General features: G+C 50.3%; 1 long non-coding RNA gene across 1 annotated transcript in view; it reads right to left on the reverse strand.

The window, feature by feature from the left end:
• LOC105378379 (uncharacterized) overlaps window positions 1–10,816 on the reverse strand; it is a 112,024-nt gene extending 101,208 nt beyond the window's left edge. Inside the window, exon 1 of the long non-coding RNA XR_946100.2 lies at window positions 10,371–10,816. This is a non-coding gene — a long non-coding RNA (uncharacterized LOC105378379). The remainder of the gene's footprint in view (window positions 1–10,370) is intronic.
• Between the last annotated feature and the right edge of the window lie 3,053 nt (window positions 10,817–13,869).

Below are 13,869 nucleotides of genomic sequence, written 5' to 3' on the forward strand. Positions count from 1 at the left end.
TCTAGATGAGGAAACTGAGGCACAGGTAGATGAGATCACCTGCTTGTAGACACGCTGCTAATAAGTGGTGGAGATAGGCTGCTCTCAGCCCTGCAACTGCACTGTCTCACTCAGCCACAGAGGGACAGAGAGTTTTGTGCCTCTCTCCTCTCACTCTGTGCTCCTTTCCTGGGTAAGAGCTCCTCCACTCAGGGCAATTTTGCCTTCAGGGAATGGTTAACAAACTCTGGAGACATTTTTGGTCACAACTAGGGGAGGAGAGTGCTGCTGGCATCTAGTGGGTAGAGGCCAGGGATGCTGCTCAACATCTTACCATGCACAGGACAGCCCCCATGGCCAAGAATTATCCAGCCCCCAATGCCAATCATGCTGAGGCTGACAAACCCTGCTCTGGGGAATGCATTGGCACCCAAGCTCCCCTTCCTGTCTATCTCCTCTTCCACTGGCTGAGAACTGGGTGATGATGAAAGCTACAGACCAGGGGAAAGAGAAGAGGAGGAGGCAGGAGGTAGCTTACTGGCCAGAGGAGATGGCACCCCACATTGTGGGACTTGATGCTTTCACAATACTGGTGGTGGTCACGGCAGGGTACGTCCTCTGTTAATGAGTTAACCTCTCTTAATGAACCAACACGAGGGGTGGGTTAATGAACGCAAGATTTCTATGCTGGTACTGTGTAGGTGGCAGGTGGGAGAGAGGTCTGGGACACCAAAACATTGAGTGGAACAGGACATTTTGAATTTTTGGAAACAGAACTTGAGTGGAAATTCCACCATGGGGCCTTCAGAAATAGAAAACCCAGAGCCAGAAGGCTAGATCCCAGTGCAGACTTCCAGCTCGAGGAACAAAAAAACCTCCAATTGACTTTTTGTGAAGCTGACATTTTTGACATTTACAGCAAGGCAAAGACAACCAACCAGAGCCTGGGGTGGGTACTGTAGAGTATTAGACCAGGCAAAGTGAAAAGGGGTCAGTGGGGTTAAGGTCATGCCCTCAGCTGACAAGGAAGCTGCATGAGCCCTGCCATTTCTCCTGCAAGTGCCCTGAAATTTTTCTTCTGCTAATTCTTATTACATAGGGGGGAAAATATGATGGGTTCCTGGAGAACCCATCTTGGGAGTGAGTACCTGCACCCCACTCTGTGGCTGTTCCTGGTGTGACCGGACTCTGAGATGAGCCTGCAAACCCCTGCCCCAGCCACCTGCACCACTCACCTCCACGGCAGCAGGGTGGGGGGGTGGTCCTGGCAGCCACGGGGCCAGCACTCGCTGGCCCTCATATTCACAGTCCCAGAGCCCCAGTTCTTATCAACAAATCCATGATCCTATGGCCTGTCTTCATTGCCCATAAGCCACCCAAATATCCTGAACATCCCACCATAGCGACATCATCTCTCAGACTTCCATGCATTCCCAGAAATGGCTCCAAGTCAGACCACACAGGCTACTTTTTGTTACTACATTGACACTGGTTCCTGTAATCCCTGTGGTCCAGTGGTCTAGCCATAGGGCTCCCCAGGCCTCGAGGTTCATGCTAACGGAAAGCTTGTCTACTCAGGAACCTCTGTGAGACCTGTTGGGAGTCAGCCTAGAGTTAAGCTCCTCTTATACTGGCTCTGCTCCTTTCCATGCTAAGCCCATCTTTGCCCTTCTCCCACAACTTGCTCAGGGTGGACCTGCAAATAAGACTGGTGCACATCCAAGATGCTGACTTGGGTGTGGTCCAGGTGAGCAGGCTCACCATGATAAAAAAAGCCACATCTCTACCTGGCCTCTCTCTTGTACCTCTTGCTGCAGGCTGAAAGAGGCTGTGGCCCCTTGGGATTGGTCACTTCTTTCTCAAGCATCCTGTTTTCTGCATCCTCGGGTCTGGCCTGAACTTGCGTGTGCCTCTCCTGTGGCCATCTCTCCTCCTGTAGCGATGGCAGTGTGCTGATTAGCCAAGTATCAGACATGTAACTAATGGCCCCTTCATAGATAGTTTATTTCTTTCTTGTATTACAGCTGGAATATAGGAAGTCTGGAGATCTTACAGGGGGTTTCCTTCCATCAAGGCTCTTTCAATCTTTTCATTTCACCATGCATGGCCGCTACTCCTAAGACAACCTCAAGGTCCCACGGTCCCATATGGCTGCTACAGCACCAGCCATCATGCCTGAATACCAGGTTGCAGGAGGGAAGGAGAGCTGAAGAGGGAGCAAAGGGTATGAGTCCAGTGTCTTTTAAAGAAGGTACTAGAGGTGGTCACTTCCATTTGCATGTCGTTGACAAGAACTTAGTCAAGCATCAAAGGAAGCTGTGAAATGTGATCTTTCATTTGGGCGGGCAGATAACAATTAGGGTTGTATTAGCAAGGAAACAAAGGAGAAACAGTATTAGGAGACAAATAACAGCCTCTGATATAGTGGGCAGCTTGAGCCAGGGTCTGCCCCCACGGAGCCTGCCAACTTTCTCCCTATGCACAGCTGAGTACATATTAGCACCAAAATTTGACTTCCAAGGTGAGGGAAGTAGGAGGTCTCACTGAGGTCTCCTTGCCTAAGCTCTTTGTTCCCAACAGCCTTTCCTTTTCTGAGGTTCCAGATGCTGCTCCATCACCAACCAGGAGAAATGGCTCAACCACTCCCAGCCCTAGCTTGCACACCTGAAGTGGAAGAGTAAGCTACTGTGTTCACCTGGTCATTGGGAGAGGCTTGGAGGTCAGCGTTTGTAACACTAGGATATGGTGGCATTTTCGCATTTTTTCCCTCCTCCTCAATGCCGCTGAGACCAGCCTTCATCCCCTTCATGATGAAGTTTCATGACTGTTTATCTAAAGGTAAAGGCCCTGCATGTGCCAGAACTATTGCTTAGACTCTCAAGCAGGGACACTGGGACCCCCTTCTCCTCCTCACCTCATGGAAGGAGGCTTTAACATGCAAGATCTATGAAAGTATCCAGCTCTTGGTGTAAGTAAAACAAAACAGATCATCCCACTCATGGTAGGACGCTTTGCAGGTAATTGCCAACCCTGGAAATTCACACCCACCCATCAACATTCAGCACAAATGTCCTCTCCCTCCCCTTCTCCCTTGCTTGAACTAGTTAGAACTCCCACTTCCTCTGATGGCATTTTGTACATTCATTTATTCCAGCACTTGCCTCACTGTTTGTGGACAGCTCTTCAATTTATCTAACCACCCATTTATCCATCCATCCATCCATCCAATCAGCAAGTATTTACTAAGCACCAGATACTACTGGGGAGACAGAGTCAAACAAGGGCACTGTCTTGACTTCCATGGACCCCCACCCCAGCCCATAGAAAGCAACATCCATGAGGTGGAGGCATTTCAAGGAAGAAGAATGGGCTTGCCAAGAGGGGCACTGACCTCAGTCTTCTGAGTGCACTGGGAAGATCCTCCAGGGCAGCTGGGCTTCCGGCTCCAAGAGCCTAGCCATGAGGCAAGCAGGGGAGATGGGCCTGCCCAGGGAGAGAGTGGCAGGAGTGGACATATGGGAGGACATATGGTGTGGCACAAGGCAGCTGCTTCATACACAGTCATCATCACTGAGTGGAACGGTGAGTTCAATAGGGTGATAACAGTAATATCACGTATTATTGAGAAAAAGTATTGATTACATGCCAGGCACTGTAATACATGCCATGAACCATTGTTTCACTGAATCCTCTGAACAGTCTTGTGAGAAGAGAACTGTTATCTCTGCTTTACAGATGAGGAAACAGTTTAGCACTTTTGAGGAATGTGTCAGGGCCACACAGCTAGTGAAAGGCAGATCTCAGCCCAGAAGCTACTGACTCTGCAGCCCTTGCTGTCACTCCTGGGCTGCACCCCCAACCACCAAGGAGTCCATCATGGAGAGGAGGGAGAGTGGGGGAAAAGGGGCAGTCAGCCTTACGTTGCACCAAGCCCAAGGCAAAGGGGAGCCTCTGAAGGCCACTGAGCAGAAGGATCACATCTCACTCTTAACCTGGACTGGGAGCTCTTAGGTGGCGCAGTCTGAGTGTCATTCGTCGTTAGGCCCTCGACACCCAGCACACTGCCTAGTACACAGAGTGTTTGCTGCAGCATGGCTGAAAAAAAAACCAGTCCTTCAATGAATGAACAAACCAACATGGTGTTGCCAAACTTCAGAATCAAAGAATATCTGCTAGGATTCGATTTAGCAGTATATGACAGAAAACCCATAATCGTGGCTTAAATAAGATGGCAGTTTATTTGCTCTTTTGCAAAGAGGTCCATAGACATGCAGCCCAGGATTGGCATAGTGTTTCCATAGGCTCTGGGACTAATTCTATAATTTCACTGCCCAATCATTTCAGCACATGGCTCCTATTATGTAGGTCACCTCAAGACCTAAAACAGGTGCTGGAGCTCCAGTCATCACATCTCCATTCCAGGTAGTAAAAAGTAGAAAAGTTAGAAAAGTAAGGAGTAAGGTCTTCACCATCCATTTTAAAAAGACTTCCCAAAGTTATCACTCAACTTCTGCTTATATCTCATTGGCCAGAACCTAGTCACTTATTCCCCTTCTGGTCCCCAAAGAAGCTGAGAGTAATAGTCCTTTTATCGTGGCCATTGCTGCCCTACATACATGTTGTTATTAAGGAGGAGAAGGAGGATGCATGTTGTGGAAGGCAATCTGCAACCTTTGCCTCTAGAAGTGAATGACTTTGTGCAAACCTGCGCACACATGGAATCTCTTCCTGGTGAAGGAAATGCCCCTTCACCTCCTGGGGAAACAGTTATCTTAGGGAACTCCAGGAAGAGGAGGACTTGGCAGCTATTTGAGAAGATTACATCTGCCTGATAAAAGGTGCTGAACTCCCATGATTGCCTATGAGAACAGAAGATAGGAGCCCTTGGCTGTCTCCGGGCTGCTGTCCCCAGCTGTGGGGGCCCCCTTATCATTGCCAGAGGAGAGTCAGCTTGACAAGACCCATTAAAGGGACCCAGCTGGGATTCCACTGGCATTCTGGAGCTGGATGTTCAGAACCACCTGCCTTCAGACAGAGAAGTCCTGGGCCAGAGCATTCCTCCCTGGGCAACCACGTGCCCACTGGAGAGTTTTAAAGCTGATAGAAAGGGTGAGTCGATGGGCCATGCACACCAGCCAAGTTCAAAGGCACCTCCACAGTGGAATAAAGACATTGTGAAAAAGTCACAAAGAGACGCTAATTCTCTCTTACCTCATACCTAAAGCTGATGCAGCCTATGGAGCCGTGGCAGGAAGCCCCACAAGCCACTGAGCCAAGGCCTGTAGCTGGAGAAGGCATGCAGAGAACATGAAGTGGTGGCTGCAATGCTCTCAAAGGAATGGGGAGATGGGACCAGGGTCTGGACCTGGCTCGTTGATGGCACTGACTCTGCGTTTCCCTGGGGTAATGCCAAGAGAGCCATCGCAGGGCAGTCTCACTGCTGCTTTCTTCTTCTCCCTTGGCCACTGGTCCCCTACCATTTTGGCCAGTGGCCATGTTCTCTTTGTCTGGCAGGAAAACCACTGTACACTTAGAGTTTTGAACAGTCTTTCATTTGTTACCAATAGGGAGGCCAAGTAGGGCTTATTCTTGTGCCCATTTTGCAGATGATTGAGGTGAGAGAGTTAAGATATCTATCCAAACTCACCAGGCATGAAGCTGAAACTAGGCTCTGTCTGTCTAACATTTAAGGAGGAGGCTGTCAGTAAGACAAGTGGACTTGGGAGGAAGAACCCCTCTCCCAGCAAGGCCCACACTCATTGACCGCCATCTCCTAAATTTGAAACTCAGCTGACATGAATAATGAGATATAGTCAGCACCTGCTCCTCCCTGGTCTCAGGTGTTTCCCCAGCTTTCCTGCCTGGGGCTCGGGACTGGTGATACCCAGAGATGGACACCTGTGGAATCATGTGCATGGCCAGCTTTGTGGTCAGCTGGTGTGAGCCAGCACCAGCCTCTGTCCCTAGCCTCTCTGCCAGTAGCCAGGGGAATGATGGGATGACATCCATCTCTGTCCTGACAGGGCAGGTGAGGAGCAGAGGCAGATGGCAATAAAGGTCAGTGCTAATTCCCACATGCCTGCAACTGGATTGAGGAGGATGGGACCTTGCAGATCCCCACAGCCCACTGTACCAGCAGCAGCACAAACACAGCAGCCAAATCTCCACTATCAGCAACCTTGGGTTCTCAAGAGCCCTTTCAAATGCAAATATTTCTGTAAGAGGGAATCACCTGGAGTGCCAGAATCTTCAGTTTCCGCCTCTGTAAAATAGGTATGAAAACCTCTCCGACTCAGGGCAAGGAGGCTGAGAGGCTGCAGGAGAAATTGCCAGCACAGAGGCTGGACAGTCTGTAACCCTGAAATGTTTGGGTTCATGAATCTGTGAAATGAGCATGGCAGTTTTGGGGTCAGGGCAAGGAAGGGCACAGGACGCCTGAGGTAGGTGAGCTGCCAGTCCTCTGTGCAGGGCCATCCTGTCCCCATGCCCACCCCCAGTGCCCACCTGATACCCCCCAGCCAGTCTGTCCATGCAGGGTTCTAGACCAGGGGTCTCTTCTTTGGGGCTGTAGTTGTTGGGGTCAGGGGCTGGTGAGGAGATGGGGGAGGGACTAGCCAAAGAGCTGGGAATGGATGTGTGGGAGCAAGAAGGATGCTGCCCTGGAAAGGAGTCAGAGAGTGAGATCCAACTGGCCTGAGGCAGAAACCAACAAACCAGCCCCCTACCCAAGCACCAGCCTCCACCATCATCAATGTGGAAAAATGTGCTTTGGATTTTATAAAGCATTTCCACATATTTGATCTAATTTGATTTACTCTAAGGTATACATTATAATCCATTTTGCAGATGAGGAAAGTGAGGCTCAGAGAAGACCCCACAGCTGGTGAGGGATAAAGCAAAGCCAGGTCTCCTTCCACCCTGTGCTCTCTACTTGCAAACTACAATCTCTGGTTCCAGGAAACAACAGACCACACCTGTAAAGGGATTGTGGAGAAGAAAGGAGAAAAAGTCTACCAAAGGAGCTGGATACCACGTGTGTGTGTGTGTGTGTGTGTGTATTTGTGTGTGTGTGTGTATTTGTGTGTGTGAATGTGTGCATGTGTGTGAATGCATGTGTGCATTTTATGAGGTGGGGCAGGGAGTGCAAGAAGCAGTGATTAGCTTCAGCTAGAGATTTTATTACAAATGTATTTTGTGCTTCTGTGTCTTTCACATTCTGACAATGCTAATTTTGTAATTATATATATATTTATATATGTATATTTATATATATTTATCTATGTATTTTGTATATATATTTATATATGTATATTTATATATGTGTGTGTGTATATATATATATATATTTATATATATGTAATTTTAAATGAGGGAAAGCCACTGGGCTATGGAGAAATCCAGCATGGATTTGGAGTCTGGCAGCTTGGCTCCTAGCCCTGAATCTTTCCCTGCCCAGCTATGTGACCTTGGCCCTGTGGCCTCCCCGACTCTGGGCTTCCATTCTCTCATCTACAGCTTGAGCTTTGGGATGGAAGCACCTGCAGATCCTTTCTCCCCTGACCTAAGTGGTTTGTGAAAAGTCACTTCTAAGGAGAAAGCAGCTCAGGGATTCCCAGTCTGAAGCCCTAGATTCCAGATGTTCAAACCCACTCCCTTTCCCTTGAGGATCTAGAGTCAGGGCATGGTCACATTCATCCCTTCCCCACCACAGGAAAAGAGTGAGAAGAAGCAGGTCCCTGTGATTCTGACACATTGTTTCCATCTGCTGCTAACCTGTTATTAGCAGGATTTTCCTAAACCTCACCTCTATTTTCCAAAGTCACACACCCTGGGCATAGTGGTTTTCTTGTCCTCTTCCTTAGCTCTCCAGAACTCAGAACCTGGAGAGGAGAGAATACCACTCCAGTTTCTGATCAGAGCACTGCCTCTCCTAGCTGGTTCCTCATAGGTTACAGTTTGGAAGCCTCCCAGAGACGTCTGGAAGCGCTGATCCCTGCATTCGCTTTGGGGCTGTGTCTCTACTACTTCCAGATGTTTACACAGCTGGCTGGATTACTTAACTGCATTGACATCATACACCTTGATATTTCCTCTTTACAAAAACAGTTCAGATGGGAAAGAAACTGGCTATTGAGAATCTGTATACCGCAGAACTAACCAAAATAACATTCCACCTCTCCAGGAAGGCTATGGATGCATTCACTCACATGCGCTGCTCTTGCACAATTGCACAGGCCTCGGTTTCCCTCTCTATAAACTGAAAAGGTGGGTTTGGACAGTCCGAGAGTTCCTTTGGGTGCAGAGAATGTATCTGAAGTTGCCTTGGAGAGGCCATTTCCTTCCTTTTTACAGATTTGGAGACTGAATCCTAGAATGGGGAACTTACTTGATTCAACTGATAACTAATTATAGAGCACCTACCATGGTTAGGTAGTGGGGTAAGACTAGATAGACACAAAGGTGGAAATAAGACCATGCTGGTACATGGCTCCCTGTGTGCCAAGCACTGTGCTGAGCCCTTTCTGGCTAGCGTCAATTTTACACCTCATAACAGTTCCAGGAGTCTGTATATTTCTCTCAGCTTTATAGATAAAGAGACTGAAGCTTAGAGTTGATGATGAGTTCACCAAAGCTCACAAAATCTGCTGTATCCAGGAATTCCAACCTACATGTGACTGACTCCAGAACCTTCATCCTTAAACAGCACCCTATACTACTCCCCAAACATTTACTGCCCTCACGAACCTTCTAGTCCAAAATGAGACACAGTCAAGGAGAGAACTGACATTTACACCACCAGAATTAGGCAAATGCCACCACCAAGACCTGCACCAAGAGCTAAGAGGGCCCTGGCCATGTGGGATAAGCTCCCCAGAGAAAGGGGCATTTGGGCTGGGCCTTGAAGGCTGAGCAAGAGTCTGTTGGGCAGAGGGGACTTGCAGGAAGACACACAGTGTCTCTAGCTGACGACGGCGCTAGGTCCTGACGTTGTTCAGTGCTCCTCCTTGCCATCCCTGCTTTCACAGCCTTCTCATCTTAGGAAAGGCCCAGAGCGTTCTGGGTCTAGATGTCACTCTGCAGCCAAGGTGGCTTCCTGGCACAACCACTCCTTGACTATCAGCTCCGTAAGGCCAGGGTCAGGGCCTGTCTGTGTTTGTGCCCTTGCACCTGGCACAGAGCAGGGCACAGTCTGTATTTGCTGAACAAATAAACATTTAGTCTTTCAGGAATTGTTTCCCAAGCAGCAGCAGCAAAATAAACAAGGAACATTTGTTGAGTGTTATGCGCCAGGCAGTGTGCTAAGTCCTTTTCATGCATCATCTTATTTAATCCACCCAAAGCCACACTCTGAGCGAAGAACTATTATGTTCCCTCCTTGACACATGAGGTTAAATAACTTGTCCAAGGTCACACAGCTAGCAAGTGGTAGAGCCCGGATTCATGCCCAGGCCTGTGGAACTTCAAAGCCCATGCTCTTAACCCCTCTGCCACCAGCGTCTCTTTGTTGTGGCCTCAGCACCCCTCTTTGTTCCCCAGGGGGAAGGGCTGTTTTGCAAGCAGGCCTGAGATGCCACAAACCTTCCAGCACATCCTGCCCCTTGGCCTCTGACATCTGTTTGCCATTTCCCCTACTCCAGAGCGGCCAGGCCCTGCCTCCTGCCTTGCCGTAATTCAGATGTCAGGGAGGATGGAAGCCAGTGCCTGGTGTCTGAGCATCTGAACTGGCAGAGACTAAGGACAGCCTGGTGCACACTCACATTTGTTTTGTCAGCCTGCGGCATGGCATTTGTCAGAGGCAGGGACACACAGATGCCACCCATGCCTCCCCAGGCTTCTCACTGCACCCCACCAAACAGTCCCGTACCGCCTTCCCCTGGCACCCTGCAAGGTCACGGCTCTAAGGAAGGTGAGAGGAAGGGACACCCTAGCTCCCCCTCCTTCCCCCACCTCCTGCACTCCCCAGTATCCTCTTAATATCCGCTGCACACCTCCACCAGGATAGAATTCCTTTCTTTTTTGAGCAAGAACAGGGAAAGCTCTGAGAATTTTTGAAAACAGCATTTTTGTTTCAAAATATAATTTCCAAAACGTTGGCCCTGAGAGATGTCCTGCAAAAAAAAAAAAAAAAAGTGTTCCATGGTGCAGCAATTTTGGGAGATGTTGCATACTCTGCCCGGGTCTCACAGGTTCCCAGCGTACACTTCAATGATGCAGGCACTGAGAAGTCCTGCAGCATTTTCCAAATGTATCCTTCATCCTCAGAGCATGTGTTCCAGATGTAGAAACACTTTGCAAGGCTGGAGAGGAAACAGGTTCAAGTGGGAAACACATCCACCGAAAGGAACCCTCCATTCTCTGCAGATTTGTGTAGCAGGGAGCTGCCTCCTTACCTTACTGAATGCGCTCTGGGCTTCTCTCAGTGAGTGAGCCTCCGCACCCTGCCAGGAATTCCCTGACTCCAGAATGGACTTTTCCTGCGAGTCCATTCTGAGAATGATGCCAGTGTGGGACAGCTCCAGGAAGACCAGAATGGACTTTGCGTATGCAGAGTTACTTGGGACCACGTGAGCTCTGTGGCACTGAAGGTCCCAAGGCCAGATGGGCTGACTACTTGGGGAGTTGAGCCTCAGAAAAAGGGCTGGCCACTCCCCATTTTCCATTTCTAAGACACTGGGATTGCACTCAGGGAGAGCAGGCACACCCTGGTCAGGCCCTCCAGGAGCAAATCCCTGTGCCAGTACCCACCACCTTTCGGCATCAGGCTCCCCAACCAGAGGAAAGCACAAGAAACACAGCTCATCCGGATGTCTGTTCCCAGCACCCTGCACATATCTGGCCCAAAAGGAAACTAGAGGCAGATTTATTGAATGAGCATGAGTTTGAGGTCAGCCACTGTTGCAGGGTGGATTCCCTGGCAAGTTGACTCTGAGCCGGAGATCAGTGTGTAGAACATTAATGAGGGGTGTTCCCGGGACCCACACCCATGGGAAAGGGAAGAAAGCAGGGAGAAGCTGAAGGAGAAATCCAGCTACAATGTAGTCACAGCGAGACCGCAGCTGACCCTGTGGGGAGCGCTGAAGCAGGATGGCCCTTCAGAGTGGCCCTGAGTTCAGGCAAAGGGGTTGGGCCTTTCTACCTCCCAGTTGGCCAGTCACTGGATGTGGGCTTTCCCAGGGAGGGGTGTGACCTTGGCAGTGTAGCTTTCTTTAGTCCATTCCTGAAGAGGGCTGACAGCTGACGTGGAGGACTCTCCACTCACAACTCCCAGCAGCTGGGGGAGAGCGTCCTCCAGTCCTGCAGGGGAGACCTGGGTGCCTAGCCCACCTGGTGGCTGTCCCACACTGCTCCCTGTGGCGTCGCCACCCACTGTTCTGGGCCTTCCTTTTCTCCTGGTCCCCCTGTCCGGGCCAGCTCTTCTTTCCCTTCTTCCAGTCTCCCTCAGTGTCAGAGACTGCTCTAAGGAACGACACTTGCAAGGGGGTTGGAGCAGAAACTGGTCACCCTCCATGCTCAACTCTGGCCCTCCAGGGACCTCTCTGGGAGCTGAGAGCAGGCCCCTGGCTGCCCCTGCAGAAGGGTGTCCTCTGAGCTTGAGGCTTCTATATGCAGGAAGGCACATTTGAGTCTGTCCCTCAACCAGGTCCTGACTCTCTGGGCTGTGGACTCTGTCTCTCAATGCATTTTCTCCTTTGCCCTCCTCCCAAGTGGACCTCCAGCCCTGCCCTGACTCTCCTGCCTCAGATTCTAGATATAGCCCAGAAGCCCTGGTAGGAATTAGGTGGGTACTGCACTCTTCACAGAGAAGCAACTGGGCTGTGTGGGACCTCTGGCTCACATTTCCTGGTAGTAAATGATTGTCCGCCTTCATATGGGAGCTTGTGTCCCGGAATATCAGGTCCTTTATCTGTAAAACAAGATTAGTGAGAGGCACAGCAGAGGCACTGGGTAAATGTTTGTGGGGCAAAGGAGTAAGTGCATGGCCTGGGGAATGCAGCTGAGGGACATCGGCCAGCCAGTGTCAGACCAGGTCTGGGCTTGGAGCATGTCCACAGTGTGGTGGTTTAAAACCAGGGCAGAGTGGGGCAGGCCCTCTATCCATCACATACCAGCGTGTGCCTTTGGCAAATTGATGCACCTTCCGTTGTTAGTTTCCTCTTTGTGAAGCAGAGATAATAGTACTCACCTCCAGCGGTGGTTTGAGGGTTGAATTAGACCAAGCATACAGTGGTGTGCTGGGCACACAGTCAGCCCCCAGTACAGGTGTGTTTTCATTCTCACCGTTATGTCAGTTCTGCCTGACTCTGTGTCCACAGAACTTTCCATCACCTCGCACCCGCCTCGATCCCCTCTGGGATGAATATTCTCCAAGTCATCTTGCAAATAAACTCCCTGGCCCAGACCTAACAATGCAGCCTGCCTGCTTTAACTTGGAGTCTGAGCTCGTCCCTCCTGTATCAAACCCTTTAGAGAGCCTGTGAGGCTCCCAAGAGGAAGAAATGAATTGCTCAGCCTGCAGCAGCCCCCTGCTGTTCTTCTAGCTGGCTGGGGTCCCCATTAGTGAAACAGCCCAGCTTTCCCCCAGCAGGAGAGGACACTAGCTTCACAGGGCAGCGTGGAGCTGCGGGATTGGCAGTTCCTAATGGAGGGGGATGGCAATCCCAAACACTGCCCATTAGCAGCGGCTTCTGTGACCCCAGCCGCTCCCGCAGAGCAAACCTTCATCTCCACGTGTCCTCTCTGTGTGCCTGGTGGATGCTTTCCCCTCCCAGGATTGGTCATTAGCACTGAAGGGCGTGGCTGCCAGGCTCCAGGGGGCTTTCTTAGCAGGCTGGGGAGACGGCAAGGAAGGGACATGGAGTGAACAGTGGTCTGGTCCCCCAGAGGTTCGCTGTTGGCCAATATGCTGTGACCCATGGGCTTCCTTGGCCCAGGCCACAAGGTATCTTGCACGCAACTGCAAGGTAGACACGCAGTATCAAGAGTCTTTAGTTAATGGAGCTGTGTGGAGTTAGGGGGATCACAGCTCCATGGTTGGGGGTGGGTAGACACTAGGAGGAGTCTGTTGAATTCCACACTGAGTCCAGCAGTCAAGACCTAGTGATAAAGAACAAAGGCCAGGTCCCGGATAGGGGGTATGTGTAGGGCATGAGGATTTCTGGCAGGAGGGGCTGCAGGCTCAGAGCAGGAGTGAGGTAGTGGTTGGGGGCTATTGTTCCAACCAGATCCAAAGAAGGGCCCAGTAGTGGTGCCTGGGCAGACCCACAGGGTGAAGAAGGAAAGAAGTCACACCCCCAGTAGAAGGCTTAGAAAACCCGCAGTAAGTTCTTTCAGAATCACTCATCAGGTGGCATCATTTCCCTGCTTCCCATCTTCCAGTGGCTGCCCCCAGCCCAGGCTGCCCTGGCAAGTTTTTCACCCGACCTCACCCTCCTTGCTTTTGAGTCTTTGAAAATGTTCCCCAGCCTTTCCCCACCCCAGGGCCTTTGCTCATGCCACTCTACCTGGCAGGAAACCTCTACCTGCCTCAGACTCCAATACCAGCTCCCATCTTGCCCTTCTCAAAGCCTGGACTTCAGTATTTTCTCCAGGGAAGGACCAGTCCTGCCCACCTTACCTAAACTTATGCCCACCATCCTGTTATCCTCTACTTCAGCATCCTATTATGTTTCTTTTAGGCCTCTTATCATAATTTATTCTTACAGGGCTTCTTTGGTAGTTTATTTGTTTATTGTCTGTCTCTCCCTCCAGTTGAAAGACTCTAGGAGGGCAGAAACCACCTCTCTCTCTCTCTTACCATTATCTCCAGCCCTAAACATTCCAGAAGCCCTCAGTAAGTGTCAGCTGTTATTTCTACCAGTTTATTGCTGCTGTGATGGTAGTTACTGTAGG

This window comes from Homo sapiens, chromosome 10 (assembly GCF_000001405.40).
Source record: "Homo sapiens chromosome 10, GRCh38.p14 Primary Assembly".
Lineage (NCBI taxonomy): Eukaryota > Metazoa > Chordata > Mammalia > Primates > Hominidae > Homo > Homo sapiens.